The 16,723-nt window shown below is 36.3% G+C and overlaps 1 protein-coding gene and 1 pseudogene across 18 annotated transcripts in view; one reads left to right on the forward strand and one right to left on the reverse strand.

Annotated features, from left to right (window-relative positions):
• PTBP3 (polypyrimidine tract binding protein 3) overlaps positions 1 to 16,723 on the reverse strand; it is a 162,168-nt gene that overhangs the window by 31,442 nt on the left and 114,003 nt on the right. For all 18 annotated transcript variants that reach the window (XM_047424272.1, XM_047424274.1, XM_047424273.1 and 15 more), the window contains 3 exons: positions 13,279 to 13,443; positions 3,522 to 3,632; positions 1,773 to 1,947 (listed from right to left, as the gene is read on the reverse strand). In XM_047424272.1, coding sequence (XP_047280228.1) covers positions 1,773 to 1,947; positions 3,522 to 3,632; positions 13,279 to 13,443 — 451 coding nt within the window. The remainder of the gene's footprint in view (positions 1 to 1,772; positions 1,948 to 3,521; positions 3,633 to 13,278; positions 13,444 to 16,723) is intronic.
• Positions 3,102 to 3,222, forward strand: RNA5SP295 (RNA, 5S ribosomal pseudogene 295; annotated as a pseudogene).

The following is a 16,723-nucleotide window of genomic DNA, read 5'->3' on the forward strand; positions in this document are numbered from 1 at the left end:
AGCAAGAGAATAATTATCAAATTTGGGACTGTGGTTATCTTGGGGGAAGGAGAGTGAACAAAAGTGATGAAGAAAGGTACACGGGGTGCTTCTTCAGTATGTATAAATATTTTATTTCTTAACCTGGGTGGTAGTCACATGGGTGTTTATATACTTACGTGTTTTATAAGCTTTTCTATAGGTATAACAAATGTCACTAAAAGTAAGGACATAGTGCTTATGACTCAGCCCTAGAAACTGTAAAGAGAAACCTTTAAAAGAGAAAGAACAGCCAGTGAAGTAGGAAGAAAGTAAGGAGAGTGGTGTTTCAGAGGCCAAAAGAAAAAAGAAGTGAATAGTGAAACTGTGTCAAATACTAGTGATAGGCAAAGTAGAGAAACTTTCACACAATATATAAAGTGCATTGTTCTCTCTCTGATGAATCACTTTTTCAGGATGTAGACATTATTTTGCAGTGACTAAGGATTTACTAATAACATTAATGAGAAAGGATATGAACATTCTGATATTTTATATTCAGAAATCAAAATTCTTAACATATTTTTAAAATGTCCTCCTCTCATAATACAGAACATTAATTGCACCAAGAGTATATAATCAATTATTAGAATAAGTGAATTCTTAAATTTGATAGCTGAGTTTTGGCAAACTTTAATTTGCCCCAGTATTTTTTTTTTTGCACCAAATATTTCTATCATTTGTTATTAAAATGGTAATGACAAAAGACCTTTGTCACTGCCAAATCAGATAAGTAAGTTAGGGGCTGGTAACAAATACAAAACACAAAAATTTGGTCAAAGAACCCAAAACAGACATTTTATCAATATTAGAAAGATGCATTGAATCATTCCCTTGGCTTTTTAAATTAAAAATAATAAAAAAGCTTTTACTTTAAAATAATGAACTATTTTTCAGAAGGGTTTGGACAATCATTTGGTTGTCTTAATTTTATAATTTGATTGTCTTAATTCTTTTAATTTTCTCACCTATAAAACATGATGAACTAAATACTACTTAAAGTCCCAATTAGCAATATTTTACGGTGTTATTTGGAAAAGGAAAAATCAATCACAAAAGGTAGTAATACTTTAAGTAATAAACCACACTTTTGAGAACTGTGAAACCAAAAGTAGCATATACTAACCTAATAAGATATTCAAACTGGGCCATCCATTGCTTTTTCCTTAAGAGGTTTACTTTAAATAAAAGAGGGAGGCTCTTCAAAGCTACAATTTGCAGAGACAATTTAGAAGGCTGTATTTTTACTAATGCAAAATGCAACTTCACACAAGCTTAAGATACAGCTGGAAGTTCTGAAGTTTAGGAAACAAAACAAAATAAATCCTCTTCTTTGAATAAAAGATCATACTATTAATTTAAGCTTGATATAAAATATCACTACTTAAAAAAGGAAAAGTATTTTTCTCAAGAGCATATATGGCAAAATTATTATGGCTATAAACTAGCATATTTAAGTTAATGTTAATAAGACTACTAATTTGAAGCAAATGGTTTGTGGCTTTTAAAGAATGAGTAATATCAATGTTAGAAAATAAATTTGTAACTCAATTTCAGATATTCATCTGTCAACTAACAGAACCTCCTAATATTAATATTTAATTAATGGGTATACTTTGTTCTAGGATTCTTGCTTTCCTTTATAAATCCTGAGAGAACTCGAGAAGAAAAAGGCTTATAAACATACATGGCTTAATAAATGAAACTTGTAACTTCAGAAAACTTGCTTTGTGACCCAAAAAAGAACTACTCACCAAAAGCAGCAGCCATAGGGGGTTCAAGGGATGGCTGGCCATCACCAGTAGGAAGGTCTAAGCGAGTGAAGTCTCTGCTTTTGTCATTATTATATTTCACATTAAGGCTGGTGAGCTTGGAGAAGTCAATGCGCAGAGTGCAGCATGCATTATAGATATTCTGGCCATCCAGAGCCTAAAGCATGTAAGAAAGGGACTGGTTTTGGCAAGACAACAACACTGATAACCAAGAAGCCTCTACTTTGACAAAGAGTGGCAATCAGGTGTAAGGCAGAAAGCACTGACTAAAAAGCCAAAGTCTTGGGTTTACTTTTACCTCACAGTCATTAACTATGAGCCTAAGAGAGAAAAAGAAAATCTCTAAGTCTCAGCTTTCATCTGTAAAATAAGACTGATAATATTTATCTTGTCTGTGGTAAGATCAAATAAGAGAGGAGAAATGTAAAAGATTGGAAAACTACTGTCTATCATAGAAATGTTCACTATTATTATGATTATTTTGCCTATATCAAAAGTTTTAAGATACTCTGATTTTACATTCCACTTTAATTCATTTTAGTATAATTCACATTATACTAGGATGTGTAAGCTTTGTTAGGATGAAACAAAGCTTTTGTAAATGGTACTTGTCAGAGCCACAATACATAAAATATTACCTACCACTTATTTTTTTCTCTTGTAAATTTACTTTGTAATACTTTGAATAATAAACTGAGGAAAATGTGGAGTCAGTTGTAACCAAAGATTAGCAACCCCTTCCTTTGCAAGAATAAAAATTTACCTAAGGGTATTTGTGGCCACTTAACGACTTTCACAAATGCTTGAATTTATAAAAATAGATACCAGAAAGCAAATCACATAAAAATAAAACATATATATATATATCCTGATTTATAATAATGGTAATTGACAAGTATGCCATCGTAAAGGTACAAAATAATATATGCATGTTCAGGGTACAGCAAATATAAAGGCTATACTCCCAATTGAGTGCCAGACACTGTGTGGTACACAAAAGTACCACAAGCCATAGTCCTCATCTTTGACCAAAAAGTAGAAATGACTAGCAAAAACTGCTACAAGATGAAATTAGAGTCAGGGATAGATATCAACAAGAGGTATGTCTAAGATAATCGAACTGAATGTCAAGTTTTATTCTTGTCAAAATAGGTTTTCGTGTACTAAAAAAAAAAAGACAACACGAATTGATAGCAGCATATTTCCTAAGATTTAGTATCTCCACCAATTTAGAGCTCAACAGGAATAAACATTGAATACAGCTGCAAAAATGGTGAAATCAATCTCTGACTGATTTAACAGAAGTAAATGGTCTACAGCCATACCACCCTGAATGCACCTGATCTCATCTGATCTCAGAAGTTAAGCAGGGTCGGGCCTGGTTAGTACTTGGATGGGAGAAGTAAATGAAAGCACGAGGGTAATGATGGCTCTATTAGTCAGCTTATGTGAGGAGTACTGTGTTCAATTCTAGACTTTAAACATGACAAACAGGACCTGCGTCTCAGAGATGTGAGAGGTGATAGGAGATTTGAGACCGTTTCATATGAAGTAGTAATGATTTTTAGCTTAGAAAAAAAAAACATGGAATCATACACTTTAAAACGACTAAAATGGTAAACATGTATATTTTGCCACAATTTTTTTAAAAACACATGGTAAAGTGGGGCACAAGAGAAGGTATCACTGGAGTGATTAACAATTGAAAAATGAAACAAAGATCATAATTACCATTTTGGCATAATGTGCATTTACTGGGTCAGCATACTGAAGCAAGGCTTGAAACTGATTATTCTTTGTAAAGGTGATAATCTTCAAGACTGTGCCAAATTTAGAAAATATCTGGAAAACAGTTCACATTAGGTTAAATGTAAAAGAAAAGTATTAAACTGATGTATCTTTATAAATACAACTTGTTCATAAATCCTTTTAAATGAAAATTTTCTCTTGAAAACTTTGGTACCAAAATGACTTAAGCCTAAAACATTAACATTTCAATACCCATGACTATCTTACAACAACGCCCGGTACACAACAGGCACTTAAATAACTAGCCTATTTTATGGGATATATAAATGGTACAGTATTAAAATAGGAGACTACAATAATCAATGGTATGAGATGTGTTACAAAGCATATGAATAAAAGTGGGAGTCATGGACCAACTATTTCACCCTGTGAAGAATCATCTACTTTTTGAGATTTCTGTAGCCACTAGAAGATGTTCAACTAGAGGCTGCTCTATTAATTCACCAAATATTTGGAAAGACAGCAGTAAACAAAACAGAGACAAAAGTCTATGCCCACATGCAGACAATAAACAAATGACAAATATCCTAATATCTGGTGATTTTTAGAAGTCTTACGAATAAAAATAAAAGAAGGGAAGGGGTGAGCACGAACCAGAATGCAAGATGAGACAGTGCAAGAGTGGTGGCCAAAGAAGGCCTTTCTGAAGTGTCTTTTGAGAAGAAAAGAGTGAGGGGAAGGCTTCCTGACACCAATATCCTCACAATACGTGTGCTACCTCAGCATCACAGGGTTCACGGCCAGGGTTACTATTAATAGTAACTCATTTCTGAAGGACTAAATAGGGGGGATAAAACAACAACATATTTAGTTTTACTCTGTTGATATGGTTTGGCTCTGTGTCACCACCCAAATCTCATCTCAAATTGTGATTCCCCACATGTCAAAAGAGAGACCTGGTGGGAGGTGACTGGATCATAGGGACAGTTTCCCCTTTGTTGTTCTCGTGATAGGGAGTTCTCAAGAGATCTGATTGTTTAAAAGGGGCAGTTTCCCCTGCGCACTCTCTCTCTCCTGCCACCATGTGAAGAAGGTCCTGGCTTCCCCTTCGCCTTCTGCCATGACTGTAAGTTTCCTGAAGCCTCCCCAGCCATGCAGAACTGTGAGTCAATTAAACCTCTTTTGTTTATAAATTACCCAGTCTCAGGGAGTATCTTTATAGCAGTGTGAAAATGAACTAATATTCACTCCATTTTAAATTTGAATCTTAAAACAAGAATTTGTTCTGCTTTTGAGATTAAAAAAGTTAAGTATTCCCTATGCTGGTAAGATTTTGCTGTTACCAACCACTATGGTACAATCATGGCTCACTGTAGGCTCCACCTCCCAGGCTCATGCGATCCTCCCATCTCAGCCTCCCAAGTAGCTGGGACTACACCACATCTGGCTAATTTTTTATTTTTAAGGTTTTATAGAGATGAGGTCTCACTATGTTGGCCAGGCTGGTCTCAAACTCCTGAGCTCAAGTTATCCTCCCATCTTGGCCTTCCGAAGTGCTGGGATTACAGGTGTGAGCCACCATACCTGGCCCTGCTTTTTAATTCTCAAAAAGTATGCTCAAGAATAACTATCCTTCCCTGGTAGTCTAGTGGTTAAAAAAACATGAAAGAAAGAATATTCTAAAGCACAGGTAATGAATGAAAAATAGATAAACTGGACTACCTCAAAATTAAAAACTTTTGTGCATCAAAGGAAACTATCAACAGAGTGAAATAAATCATGTATATGATAATGGGTTAAGATCCAGAACAGATAAAGAACTCATGCAACTCAACGACAATACAAACAATGCAACCCAAAAATAGGCAAAGGACTTCAATCGACATTTCTCCAAAGAAGCTAATCAAATAGCCAATAAGCCCACAAAAAGATGCTCAATATCACTAATCATTAGAAAAATGCAAATCAAAACTACATATCACCTAACTTCCATTAGGATAGTTATAAAATTTTTTAAAACCCATAAAATATTGGGGAGGATATGAAGAAAATGCAACCCCTGTGCACTGTTGGTAGAAATGTAAAATGTTACAGCCACTATGGAAAAAGTATGACCTTTCCTTAAAAAATTAAAAATAGAATTACCATATGATCCAGCAATTCTATTTCTAGGTATATAGCCAAAAAATTGAAAACAGGGACTCAAAGAGATATGCATATACCCATGTGTATCGCAGCATTACACAAAATAGCCAAAACAGGAAGCAACCAAAGTGTTCATCAATGAATAAATGGATAAATAAAATATGCTATATACATACAACTGAATATTACTCAGCCTCAAAAAGGAGAAAAATTCTGAATATGGGTGAACCTTCAAGACATCATGCCAGGTGAAATATGCCAGTCACAAAAGCACACATACTGCATAGTTCCACTTACATGAGGAACCTAAGGTGTAGTCAAACTCACAGAGACCGAAAATAGACTGGTGATTACTGGGGGCTAGGAGAGTAGATGAATAAAGAGTTCCGTTTAATGGGTAAAGGGAGTTTCAGTTTGGGAAGATGAAAAAAATTCTGGAAACATGGTATTTGGTGATGGTTGAAAAACAATGTGAATATACTTAATGTCACTGAACTATACAATTAAAAATAGTTAAAACAGTAAAATTCATGTTATATATATTTTGCCACTTGAATCACTTATGGCAAGACATGAATCAATGTATGTATTATACATGCAGCAACTCAATGTTTTCTCTCAATAAAGGAGTAACGTTAGACTTTAAAAAAAAGGTTGGGGGTGTAATATAACAAATTGTCTGACCTCCCTTCTTCATTACTACAGCCCAGGTGGCGTTCTAAATTATAAGGCAGATTATATTTTCCCGTACTGAAAATCCTTTACTACCTCCCCTTTATATACAGGGTAAAATCCAAGCTCCTTCATATAACATAACACTCTTGCCCTGGTTTATCTCTCAAACCTCACTTCCTGACACTTCTTGTATAACACTACTCTATTTACATCAACAATATGTAGTTGCCTATAGTTCTCCAAATTTACCAAGTGATTTCAGACCTCTAGGCCCATATATGAGGATTTTTTGTTTTCCTAGAAATGTGTTTTAACAGCTAGTAAGCCTTCATTTATCTTTTCCAAAACTCAGCTCAGGGAACAATGCCACCATAAAATTCTCAGCCTCCCCCAAATCCCTATAGAATTATTTTTCTTGAGTTGTATCTATTTCTTGGTTTTATATAAATATTTATCAGCTGGGCACAGTGGCTCACGCCTGTAATCCCAGCACTTTGGGAGGCTGAGACAGGTGGGTCACCTGAAGTCAGGAGTTCAAGACCAGGGTGGCCAACATGGTGAAACCCCATCTCTACTAAAAATACAAAAATTAGCCAGGCATGGTGGTGCATGCCTGTAATCCCAGCTACTCAGGAGGCTGAGGCAGGAGAATCGCTTGAATCTGGGAGGTGGAGGTTGCAGTGAGCTGAAATCGGGCCATTGCACTCCAACCTGGGCAACAAGAGAGAAACTCCGTCTCAAAAAAAAAAAAAACAAAATATATATATATATATATATACATATATATATATATATTTATCTATCTTGCTGTTGTACTTCTACTGTACTATATATTTATTTATATAACTGTCTCCTTTCATTAGACTGAAGGCTCCTTGAAGGAATATACCTTGTCTTAATCATTTCTGCATCATTAAGCACAATTCCTGACATGTAAGAGATATAGACTAAAATGCTTATTATTAATTGATAAAGAATTATATCTAGACCTGGTTGGAGAATTATAGCAATATGCAATTTTTTTTTCCTTTTTAAGAGATGGGGTCACCCTGTCACCCGTAATGGTGTGCAGTGGCGCCATCATAGTTCACTATAACCTTGAACTCCTGGGCTCAAGCAATCCTCCTGCTTTCGTCTCCAGAGTACTACAGGTACATACCACCATGCATGGCTAATTTTTAAATTTTTTTAGAGATGGGGTCTCGCTACCTTACCCAGGCTGGTCTCAAACTCCTGACCTCACACGATTCTCCTACCTTAGCCTCCCAAAGTACTGGGATTATAGGCCTGAGCTACTGCACCCAGCTGGCAATATGTAATTTTTTTTCCCTTTTTTTAAAGCTTTCATTTTTTCTTTTTAAAAAAATACTTATTTTCACCCCAAGGGAAGTCAGCAATTTCAAAAAATAATAAATATTCTTGATGTAAAATATATCATTAGTGAAGGAGTAGGAAAACACATAATTTGCTCTAACATTTGGAAAATTTTTATACTAAATTATGCTATAAAACCTAATTTCCACTCACCTTTCAGATTTTGTTAATGTTTACATTCCTTTTCTCATTTAACTTCAACAATGGCCTAAAGCACATCCTGGGACAGCTTGGTGTTTTGCTGTGTGGTTTTTATCTGAATGTGCTAAGAGAATAGAACTTGCCTGAATGGGCTAACCAGCAATAGCACTCTAGTCCCCTGGATTGTATTCACTGATAGAGGAGCTACAAAAAACGATATGATACTTCTGAATAAAGTAACTGGGCACCAACATCAGGGAATCTAGGAATGCCTGAGGTGTGATTTTTAACACCCTTTCATAATTATCAAAATAGCAAATTTTAAACAGATTTGGTATCAAAAATTAAAATTCAGGAAGGTTTGATATATATATGAATCTATTTTTATGAATTATAAGGTCTTTTACTCTGTTTCCCTAATATATTTTGCTGTCAAAAATATGGACAAATACTCAACTCTATATACCTCCTGTGTATTTTAATATTTTCAGACTGTAACACAGGACTAAGAAGATACTAAAGATCAAATTCTGATAAAATTCATCTTCAGAGTGATTTTTTATAAAGGTAGAATTTGTCAGAAACTGAAAATGTCCACTAGTATTCACTTGTAAAAAGTGTATTCATGGCGAGGCGCAGTGGCTCATGCCTGTAATCCCAGCACTTTGGGAGGCCAAGGTGGGCAGATCACCTGAGGTCAGGAGTTCGAGACCAGCCTGGCCAACATGGCGAAATCCCTCCTCCACTAAAAGTACAAAAATTAGCCAGGTGTGGTGGTGGGCGCCTGTAATCCCAGCTACTCAGAAGGCTGAGGCAGGAGAATTGCTTTAACCCGGGAGGCGGAGGTTGCAGTGAGCCATGATTGCACCACCACACTCCAGCCTGGGCTATAAGAGTGAGACTCCATCTCAAAAAAAAAAAAAAAAAAAAAAAGTGTATTCACATTAGAATTTTTTTTTAGTATCAAGCACACTGGCCACAACTTGTTTATAATAGTTTTTGTAGCCAATGAAATAACATGATTTAAGAACCAGAATTTCATATTACTAGGATTCTTTTATTTAGTACCATAATGCCTAGCTTTTGTAAGTTATTTATCTTTATTACAATTCAAAAAGATTGGTCCTTTGTCCAGAAGAGATTTATCTATTGGACACTCAAAAACCATTCCCATGTATAACAGTACTCAGAAGTAATGGATTACATGAGAACATCGTTATGAGCTACTTCTTTCATGCACAATGACACTTTTTAGTATGCAGGACTGAGCATTTACATAATGAATCAGTTGATGAATTCTATCTACAAATACTCTGAGATGATGTCATCCAGTCCAATGGCTTTAATTACCACACCTACGCTGAAGGTTCCCAAATCTCCAGCCTGAATTCTTTCCTGAATCCAGACTTAATTCCCATTTATCATCTCCCACTTGAATATCTAATAGGTATTCTTAAGTTAACATGTTCAAATCAAACTCCTGATTCCTGCCTACCTCCAACCCCTGCCCCAAATCTTTTTTTGTCTTTGTCTTTTTATTATTACTATTATTTACTTACCTCAGTCTTTACATCTTAGCTCCATTTTACCAGAGGCTCAGGTCCAAAATCTGGGAGGCATTCTTGATTACTCCCTTTCTCTTCAGAACCACATCTAATCAATCCATCAGCAAATCTTTCAAAATATATCCACAGAAGCCTGTGTAGGTGGCCCGTAACTATAGCCCCAGCTTGTCATAGGGTGGAAGGATCTCTTGAGCCCAGGAGTTTATTTAAGGCCAGTCTGGGTAACATAGCAAGACCCTATCTCTAATTTTAAAAAAATCCATAATCACCACTTCCAGTGCCTATGCCCTCACCCAGGCCACCATCATCTCTCACTTGAAGTAGGACAAGAGCCTCCACTTAACCCTATACAGCTTATTTTTTTGGAGGATGGGGAGGCAGGGTTTCACTCTGTCATCCAGGCTGGAATGCAGTGGTACAATCTTGGTTCAATGCAACCTCCACCTCCCGGGCTCAAGCTATCCTCCCACCTTAGCCTCCTGAGTAGCTGGGACTACATGTGTGTGCCACCACCCTTGACTAATATTTTGTATTTTTGGTACAGATGGGGTTTTGCCATGTTGCCCAGGCTGGTCTTGAACACCTGAGCTCAGATGATCCATTGGCCTCAGCCTCCCAAAGTGCTGGGATTACAGGCGTGAGCCACCACACCTGGCCAGTTTATTCTTAATATAGCAACAAGAGTGATTCTGCTAAAACATAAATGATATAATCTCACTGTTCCATTCAAAATCCTCCAAAGGTTTCCCATCTTACCCAATATAAGAAATTATAAAAGCTTTGCATCACCACTGCTCTAATGCCCTCTCGCATAGGGCTTTCTTACTCTCTCTATTCCAGTGACACCAGCCTTCTTTCTGATACTTGAACACAACAAGCATACTTCCACCTTAGGCACCTTACATTGCTGTTCTTTTGGACTGGATCATTATTTCTCCACATACACATATAACTTATATCTTCACATCCTATAAGCCTCTGCTCAGATATCATATTGCAAAGACTTTCCCTAACTTCCTTCATCTAAAATAGCATCAATCCCATTTCAGTCACTCTCAATTCCCTTACCATGAGCTAAAGGAACATTAGTTTCTATAGATGTTAGATAGCAGTTGAGCCAGGACCAATTTTCAGCAAAGAATATAATAAAATAATTCGTTAAATAGTTATAACAGGTACAACCAACTCCATACTTCTGTATATTCCCCTACCATAATATTCACCACATCTTATGCCATTATTTATGAAATTAGTGTCTTACCCACAAGACTACAAGAGAAAGAACTAGTTTCTTACATTGCTCTTTACTAGCATTTGATCATTAGAGCTAATACTTCTTGGGCACTTAGATGGAGTCTTGCTCTGCTGCCCAGGTGGTCTCAGCTCACTGCAATCTCAGCCTCCTGGGTACAAGTGATTCTCCTGCCTCAGCCTCCAGAATAGGTGGAACTACAGATACATGCCAGCACACCCGGCTAATTTTTTATATTTTTAGAAGAGATAGGGTTTCACCATGTTGGCCAGGCTGGAGTTGAACTCCTGACCTCAAGTCATCCACCCGCCTTGGCCTCTCAAAGTGTTGGGATTACAGGCATGAGCCCCCACACCCAACCCCTTCTTGGGCACTTAATATGTATCAGGCCCTGTTCTATTTAATGAGTACTTTAAATGTATTAACTCATATAATCCTCGCAATAAAAAATGAGAGAGAACATCATCTTCATTATAAAGAAAACAAAAATAGAAGGGGTAAGTTACTTGCCCAAGGCTATAGAGGCAGTAGAGTCAGGATTCAAACTACCTCTAGACCCTGTATCTGTAACTGCTATGCCAGACTGGCTCTTAGTTGGCTGATGGGATAGAATGCCAGGGGAGAGGGCTTGTTTAATGTAATTAGATTCAGGCTCCCTGAGGAGGTAACATTTGAGCTGAGAGTTCAATGATGTCGATCCTGCCAGGTGACTACCTGGGTAAACAGTGTTCCCGGCCTAAGAAATACAAGACAGAAATGGACTAAGGACAGAACTAAGCAGGGGAATAGGGAAGGGAGGTAGGGAGAGAGAGACAGTGCCAGAAAAGACAGGTGCTAAATAACCAGAAGAGTGTTAGGTAATGAAGATAAAGAGATGGGGGAGAAGTCTGCATTTGGGGGCCTTCATAAGGAGTTGGTTTTATTTCAATAGCACTGGAAAAGAGGGTTAAAAAAGTGAGTGCTATAACTGAAAGGCTGAGTGTCCTACCCCAGCACTTGCTACTGAGGACACTCAGAATTAGTCCTCTTCACCTGAAGGTCACCATGATCTCTTGAGGGAAAAACAAAATTTGTTACTGTGGTTAGGGAGATGATAAATGAAATTATAAGACAGGACCACATGACTGTAGCTAAACTTGCTGCTGGCTGATGGCAGTGTTGGGACATAGGCATAAGAACATCTTTTATAAAAGCAATAGCTACAATGTTACAGTAGCAACCCCGGAACAAACACTGCTAAAGATCACATTAGTCTTCAATGCCACTTTCCGGGATAAACAGAAGAGAAGAAAATCCACAAGAACAATGAAACCAATCACTTAAGCAACAGCTGAACCCTTTCAGAGAGCAACCGTGGCTCTGGATACCATTGCTAGAATCCTGTTTAGGACATGCTTCACAAATGCATATGTTTTAAAAATGGTACTCAGAAAACTATCAAAGGGGAAACCCAGTACGCCTACTCAATGGCATGTTTTAATATATACATGCATGGCACAGCACTTTACTGAGAAATGTGTCTGAGCTCTATCGCCAATTGGTATAAGGACTGTGGGAAAGTAAACGAACTTCTAAGGGCCCTAGCTTCTTTATTCGTAAAATGTGAGCCTAGAGTAAGATGTATTTCAATTCTTACATATACAAGCACACACACACCTCTATGACTCTGCACATACTACAAATCCAAAGGCATGACTCTGTCAAATGAAAATAAGCAAGGGAAGTGTTGCAGTATTTTAATATGTGGGCTAAGTGTAATGAAATGAAATCAACATATAGCTAAAGAGGACAAAAGCTGACTAAATTTTGGGGCTATATGTCAAATATTTATATACACAGATTACCAGATAACTGTATATTACATTCTTAGGATATGTATATATGAAGTATTAGTTAAAAATGTAACAACCATTCAAAAACAAAACATGGGAAATTACATCAGGAAGCTTCAATTCTAATTGGCTCTTCAATTACGCTCTACAATATTCTATACTTATCAATTATTTGGGTTTTGGATTTATTCACTACAAAATTGTGAAACTAAGTAACCTTCAATTCTTAAATTCTACATATTACTTGCCATGATTTCTTTTATCAAGACAACTTAGATATAGCAATGGGTAGTGTATGAAGCTTAGGTTGGGCATCAGTCAATATTTAACATGGTATATTCATATTACACATGAAGACTTATTGAACACTTTCCCTTTAGAATTTTTAAATCAGAAATACTCAAAGGTAAGAAGCTGTCCAGAAATAAATTAGTTGTACTCAACGGTGACATTACTTTCTAAGGAACAACTACTACCTGGACTTTTCACAATATTCTATGCTTTATTTTCATGATTACCTACAAGAAAAAAAAAATCAAAACTTTTTACACCCTTTTTAATTATGTATTCAAGTTAGAAAAAGGAGGCTGTCAAAAAATTACCTCTAATTTCTATGAAATTAGATGAAGTTTTTTTCATTATTTAAACAAATATATCAACAAAACCAATAAGCTAAACAACTTAGATATAAAACATCAAAAGTTTCAGAGGCCATATTTAACTTAACTTTCTTAAGGGTATTTATTCCTCCTTACCTGATGAAGAACTTCCAGGGTAACAGGGTAAAAGAGGTTTTCAATAATTATTCGAAGCACAGGGCTCTGCCCAGGTAGGACTGTGCCTTCATTGGAAGGACCTCCAGAAAGGGCCAGGCTTCCTGATTGGACGGCACTGACAGCCTGCAGTGCAGCTTGGGCTCGCTATAGAACAACCCAAAATGAGAACTTTTGATTATACAGACGCATTATATGAATCCTAAAATTTAGTTGACATAAAACAGTATGAAGCAATGTAGTTAAGTAAAACAAGATTTATCTACTCCGTCTGGAGATACATATCCTAAATTTGTAATCAGTCAACAGTCAAACACCTCCCTGCATACCACAATGACACAGTATTTTTAAAAGGTGCTTAAATTTACTTGAAGAATAAAAACACATGGATAAAAGGAGAAAATCTGGATGTAATTTTTATTTCCTAATTTTTTAAAGACAATGGGGGAAGAAATATGAAAGCAACATTAAAGACTATGGCATGGGATGTTTACACCCAAACAAGGGTAGTCAAGACAAACTTCTAAATATTCTCCACTAAAAGAGACCAAGGCACTCTAAAAGAATAGCTGATTCCAGAACTGGGGCCCAGAAATCACAAGAAGAGTATAAAATATTTTTGTTTTGGGGCAGGGGGAGGGAGCGTTGATCAGAATGCAAGGAAATGTTCAAAGAATGATAGGGATATTCCAAAAGGACATAGAAACCAGCTTGAAGGGGCCTGCACTGGCCAAATCTAGGACAATCTGTGTATCAAAATAATAACAACTGTTAAAAACAGAAAATCCATCAAATAACATAGGAAACCTTTAGTCCATACCGATATAAATCAACAGCTGATAAGGAACAGTGTATTTACATAGTCTTAAAGTACCTGCCCACAAAATACTACTTTTCCCCCAAGTAACAACTTTATAGTGGAGAAGGCTGGCAAACACCACCCTAATCAAGTGATCAAAGAGCCCATCATTACTAACACAACAAATGGAAATTTTATAATGCAATGAAAAGAGCATTACTTCTGTGATGTTCTGTCAAAGACAGATACTCTGAATTGAATCACAAGGAAACATCAGACAAACTCAAACTGAGGGACATTCTTGAAAATAAATTGCCTATAATTTTCAACAGTGTCAAGGTTATGAAAGGCCCTAAAGGAGACTAAAAAGACATTACAATTAAATGGAAATGTGATTCTAACTGAATCCTTTTGCTATAAACAAATATTATTGGGTCCATTAGCAAAACATAAATGGGGTATGAGGAATGGAGGGAACTTATGTATCAATGATAACTTGCTGATGTTGACTGTTGTATTCTGGTTGATAGAAGAATGTTCTTGTTTGTAGGAAATGCAGGCTAAAAATATTGGACAGGAAAGAAGGACCAGAGTGGCATCTTATTCTCAAAAGCCTCAAGAAATCAAAACTCCTTTGTACCATAATGGAAACTTTTTTCTAAGTTTGTGATTGTCTCAAAATTTAAAGCAACTATTATTACTTTGGGGCCACAGAGCAAGGTGCTGTCTCAAAAAAAAAAAAGTGTGTCTGATGCTAAAAATTATGAAGGAGCAGAATTCCTATTATGGGAAATAATTTTTAAATGTTTGGGTAACAAACTCTTTGGAATAGTTAAATTAATAAAGGAAATAATAGCAGTAGTATGATCAGGAAAACAAATTTAATGTGGGATAAGGAGAAATGTATACTTCATGTAAAATTTTAAAATGCCTGGAAAATGTAAAGAAGGTATTTCTCAGATTGAGAAGAAGAAAATTAACATACAATAAAAATGCACAGATCTTAAATGTTAAGTTTGATTGTTTTTTAGAGAAAATCCTTCTATGGTCATCTCATGGCAGATTTATAAACTTTCATCCACAAGGTCAAGAAAAGCTGCATACAATAATGACTCCTATTAACACGACCATTTCTCAAATGCTGTATCTCAGAATATGACCTAAATTTTACAGTTGTGACTTTAGTTTAAATCAAGGAAACAAAACACTTAATATTCACCTGACCTTCTGGCAAGTACAATCATAAACTGGAAAAGTAAAGTGCATATTTTGGGATAGCTTGCTATTCAGAGAACAAAAAGGAATGAAACACTCATCTATCAGCTTTCTGGGAATGTCAGAATAAAAAGATACTACAGTACTTTAAAAATATCAAACAGGTATCTGCAAGTTGGACGTTAGGTTTGATGTAGGACTTTGAATTTTTAAAAAATTATTGCATTTTATCAAACATCAATGCATAAAAGTTGTACAAAAGCAACAAGATGGAAAAAGTATTGGGAAGAAATGAAGGCTATCTCAGAATAAACTAGGTCATTTAGGCTGGCTTTGGTTGCCAAGCAACTGGGATTTCTCACTTTCTCTTTGGAATAATCTAATCTTTTAAGATTTATTAAATTGTTTTTTCCCTTCAAGGTTTATAGTAACATATTTAGGAATCACACTAATGAGAAAACTGCAGGATTTACATGAAGGAAAATTAAAAACTCTACTGAAAGACATAAAAGAAAACAAACAAAATATAACTTTCTTCTTAAAAGAATCAGAGTAATATAATTAATGTGCATAATTAATTATCTCAAATTAACTTACAACATCAACCCAATTCCAAGTGTGTTTTTTGGGGGACAGGAGTTACCAAAATAATTCCAAAATTTATCTGAAGAAATACGCAAGATATATTAATCAGTTAATTTCTGAAAAAAGAGTAAGAAATAAGATCTTGCTCTGCAATACATTAAGTCTTAGGAGCCGGGTGCAGTGGCTCACGCCCATAATCCTAGCACTTTGGGAGACAGAGGCGGGTGGATCACCTGACCTCAGGAGTTCCAGACCAGCCTGGCCACCATGGAAAAACCCTGTCTCTACTAAAAATACAAAAATTAGCTGGGCGTGGTGGCTAGCACCTATACTCCCAGCTACTCGTGAGGCTAAGACAGGAGAATCGCTTGAACCCGGCGGGCGGGGGGTGGGGGATGGGAGCAGAGGTTGCAGTGAGCCGAGATAGTGCCACTTCACTCCATCCTGGACAAAGAGCAAAATTCTGTCTCCAAAAACAAACAAAAAACAACAACAACAAAAAATTAAGCCTTAGGGCACAGACGTGGAAATGGAATCCAAGCTTTTGGAATTCAAAAGGTAGTAAAGGTTAAACATAGAATGCATAGCATGTGAGCAGCACACACATGAGGGTAGAACAAGACATGCAAGCAGAACGTATAAGCATGTTAGACGAGACTGTGCATGAGTGTGTGTACATATGATCAGCAGGCATAGAGTGTGTGTAGAAAACTAATATATGACAAAGGACAAGTTTCACATTAGTAGATAATAAATGAGTTATTCAAGAATAATGCAGGAGAAACTGGTCTCTTGGAGTAAAAAAAAGACTGAACCCTTACCCTCATT

This window comes from Homo sapiens, chromosome 9 (assembly GCF_000001405.40).
Source record: "Homo sapiens chromosome 9, GRCh38.p14 Primary Assembly".
Lineage (NCBI taxonomy): Eukaryota > Metazoa > Chordata > Mammalia > Primates > Hominidae > Homo > Homo sapiens.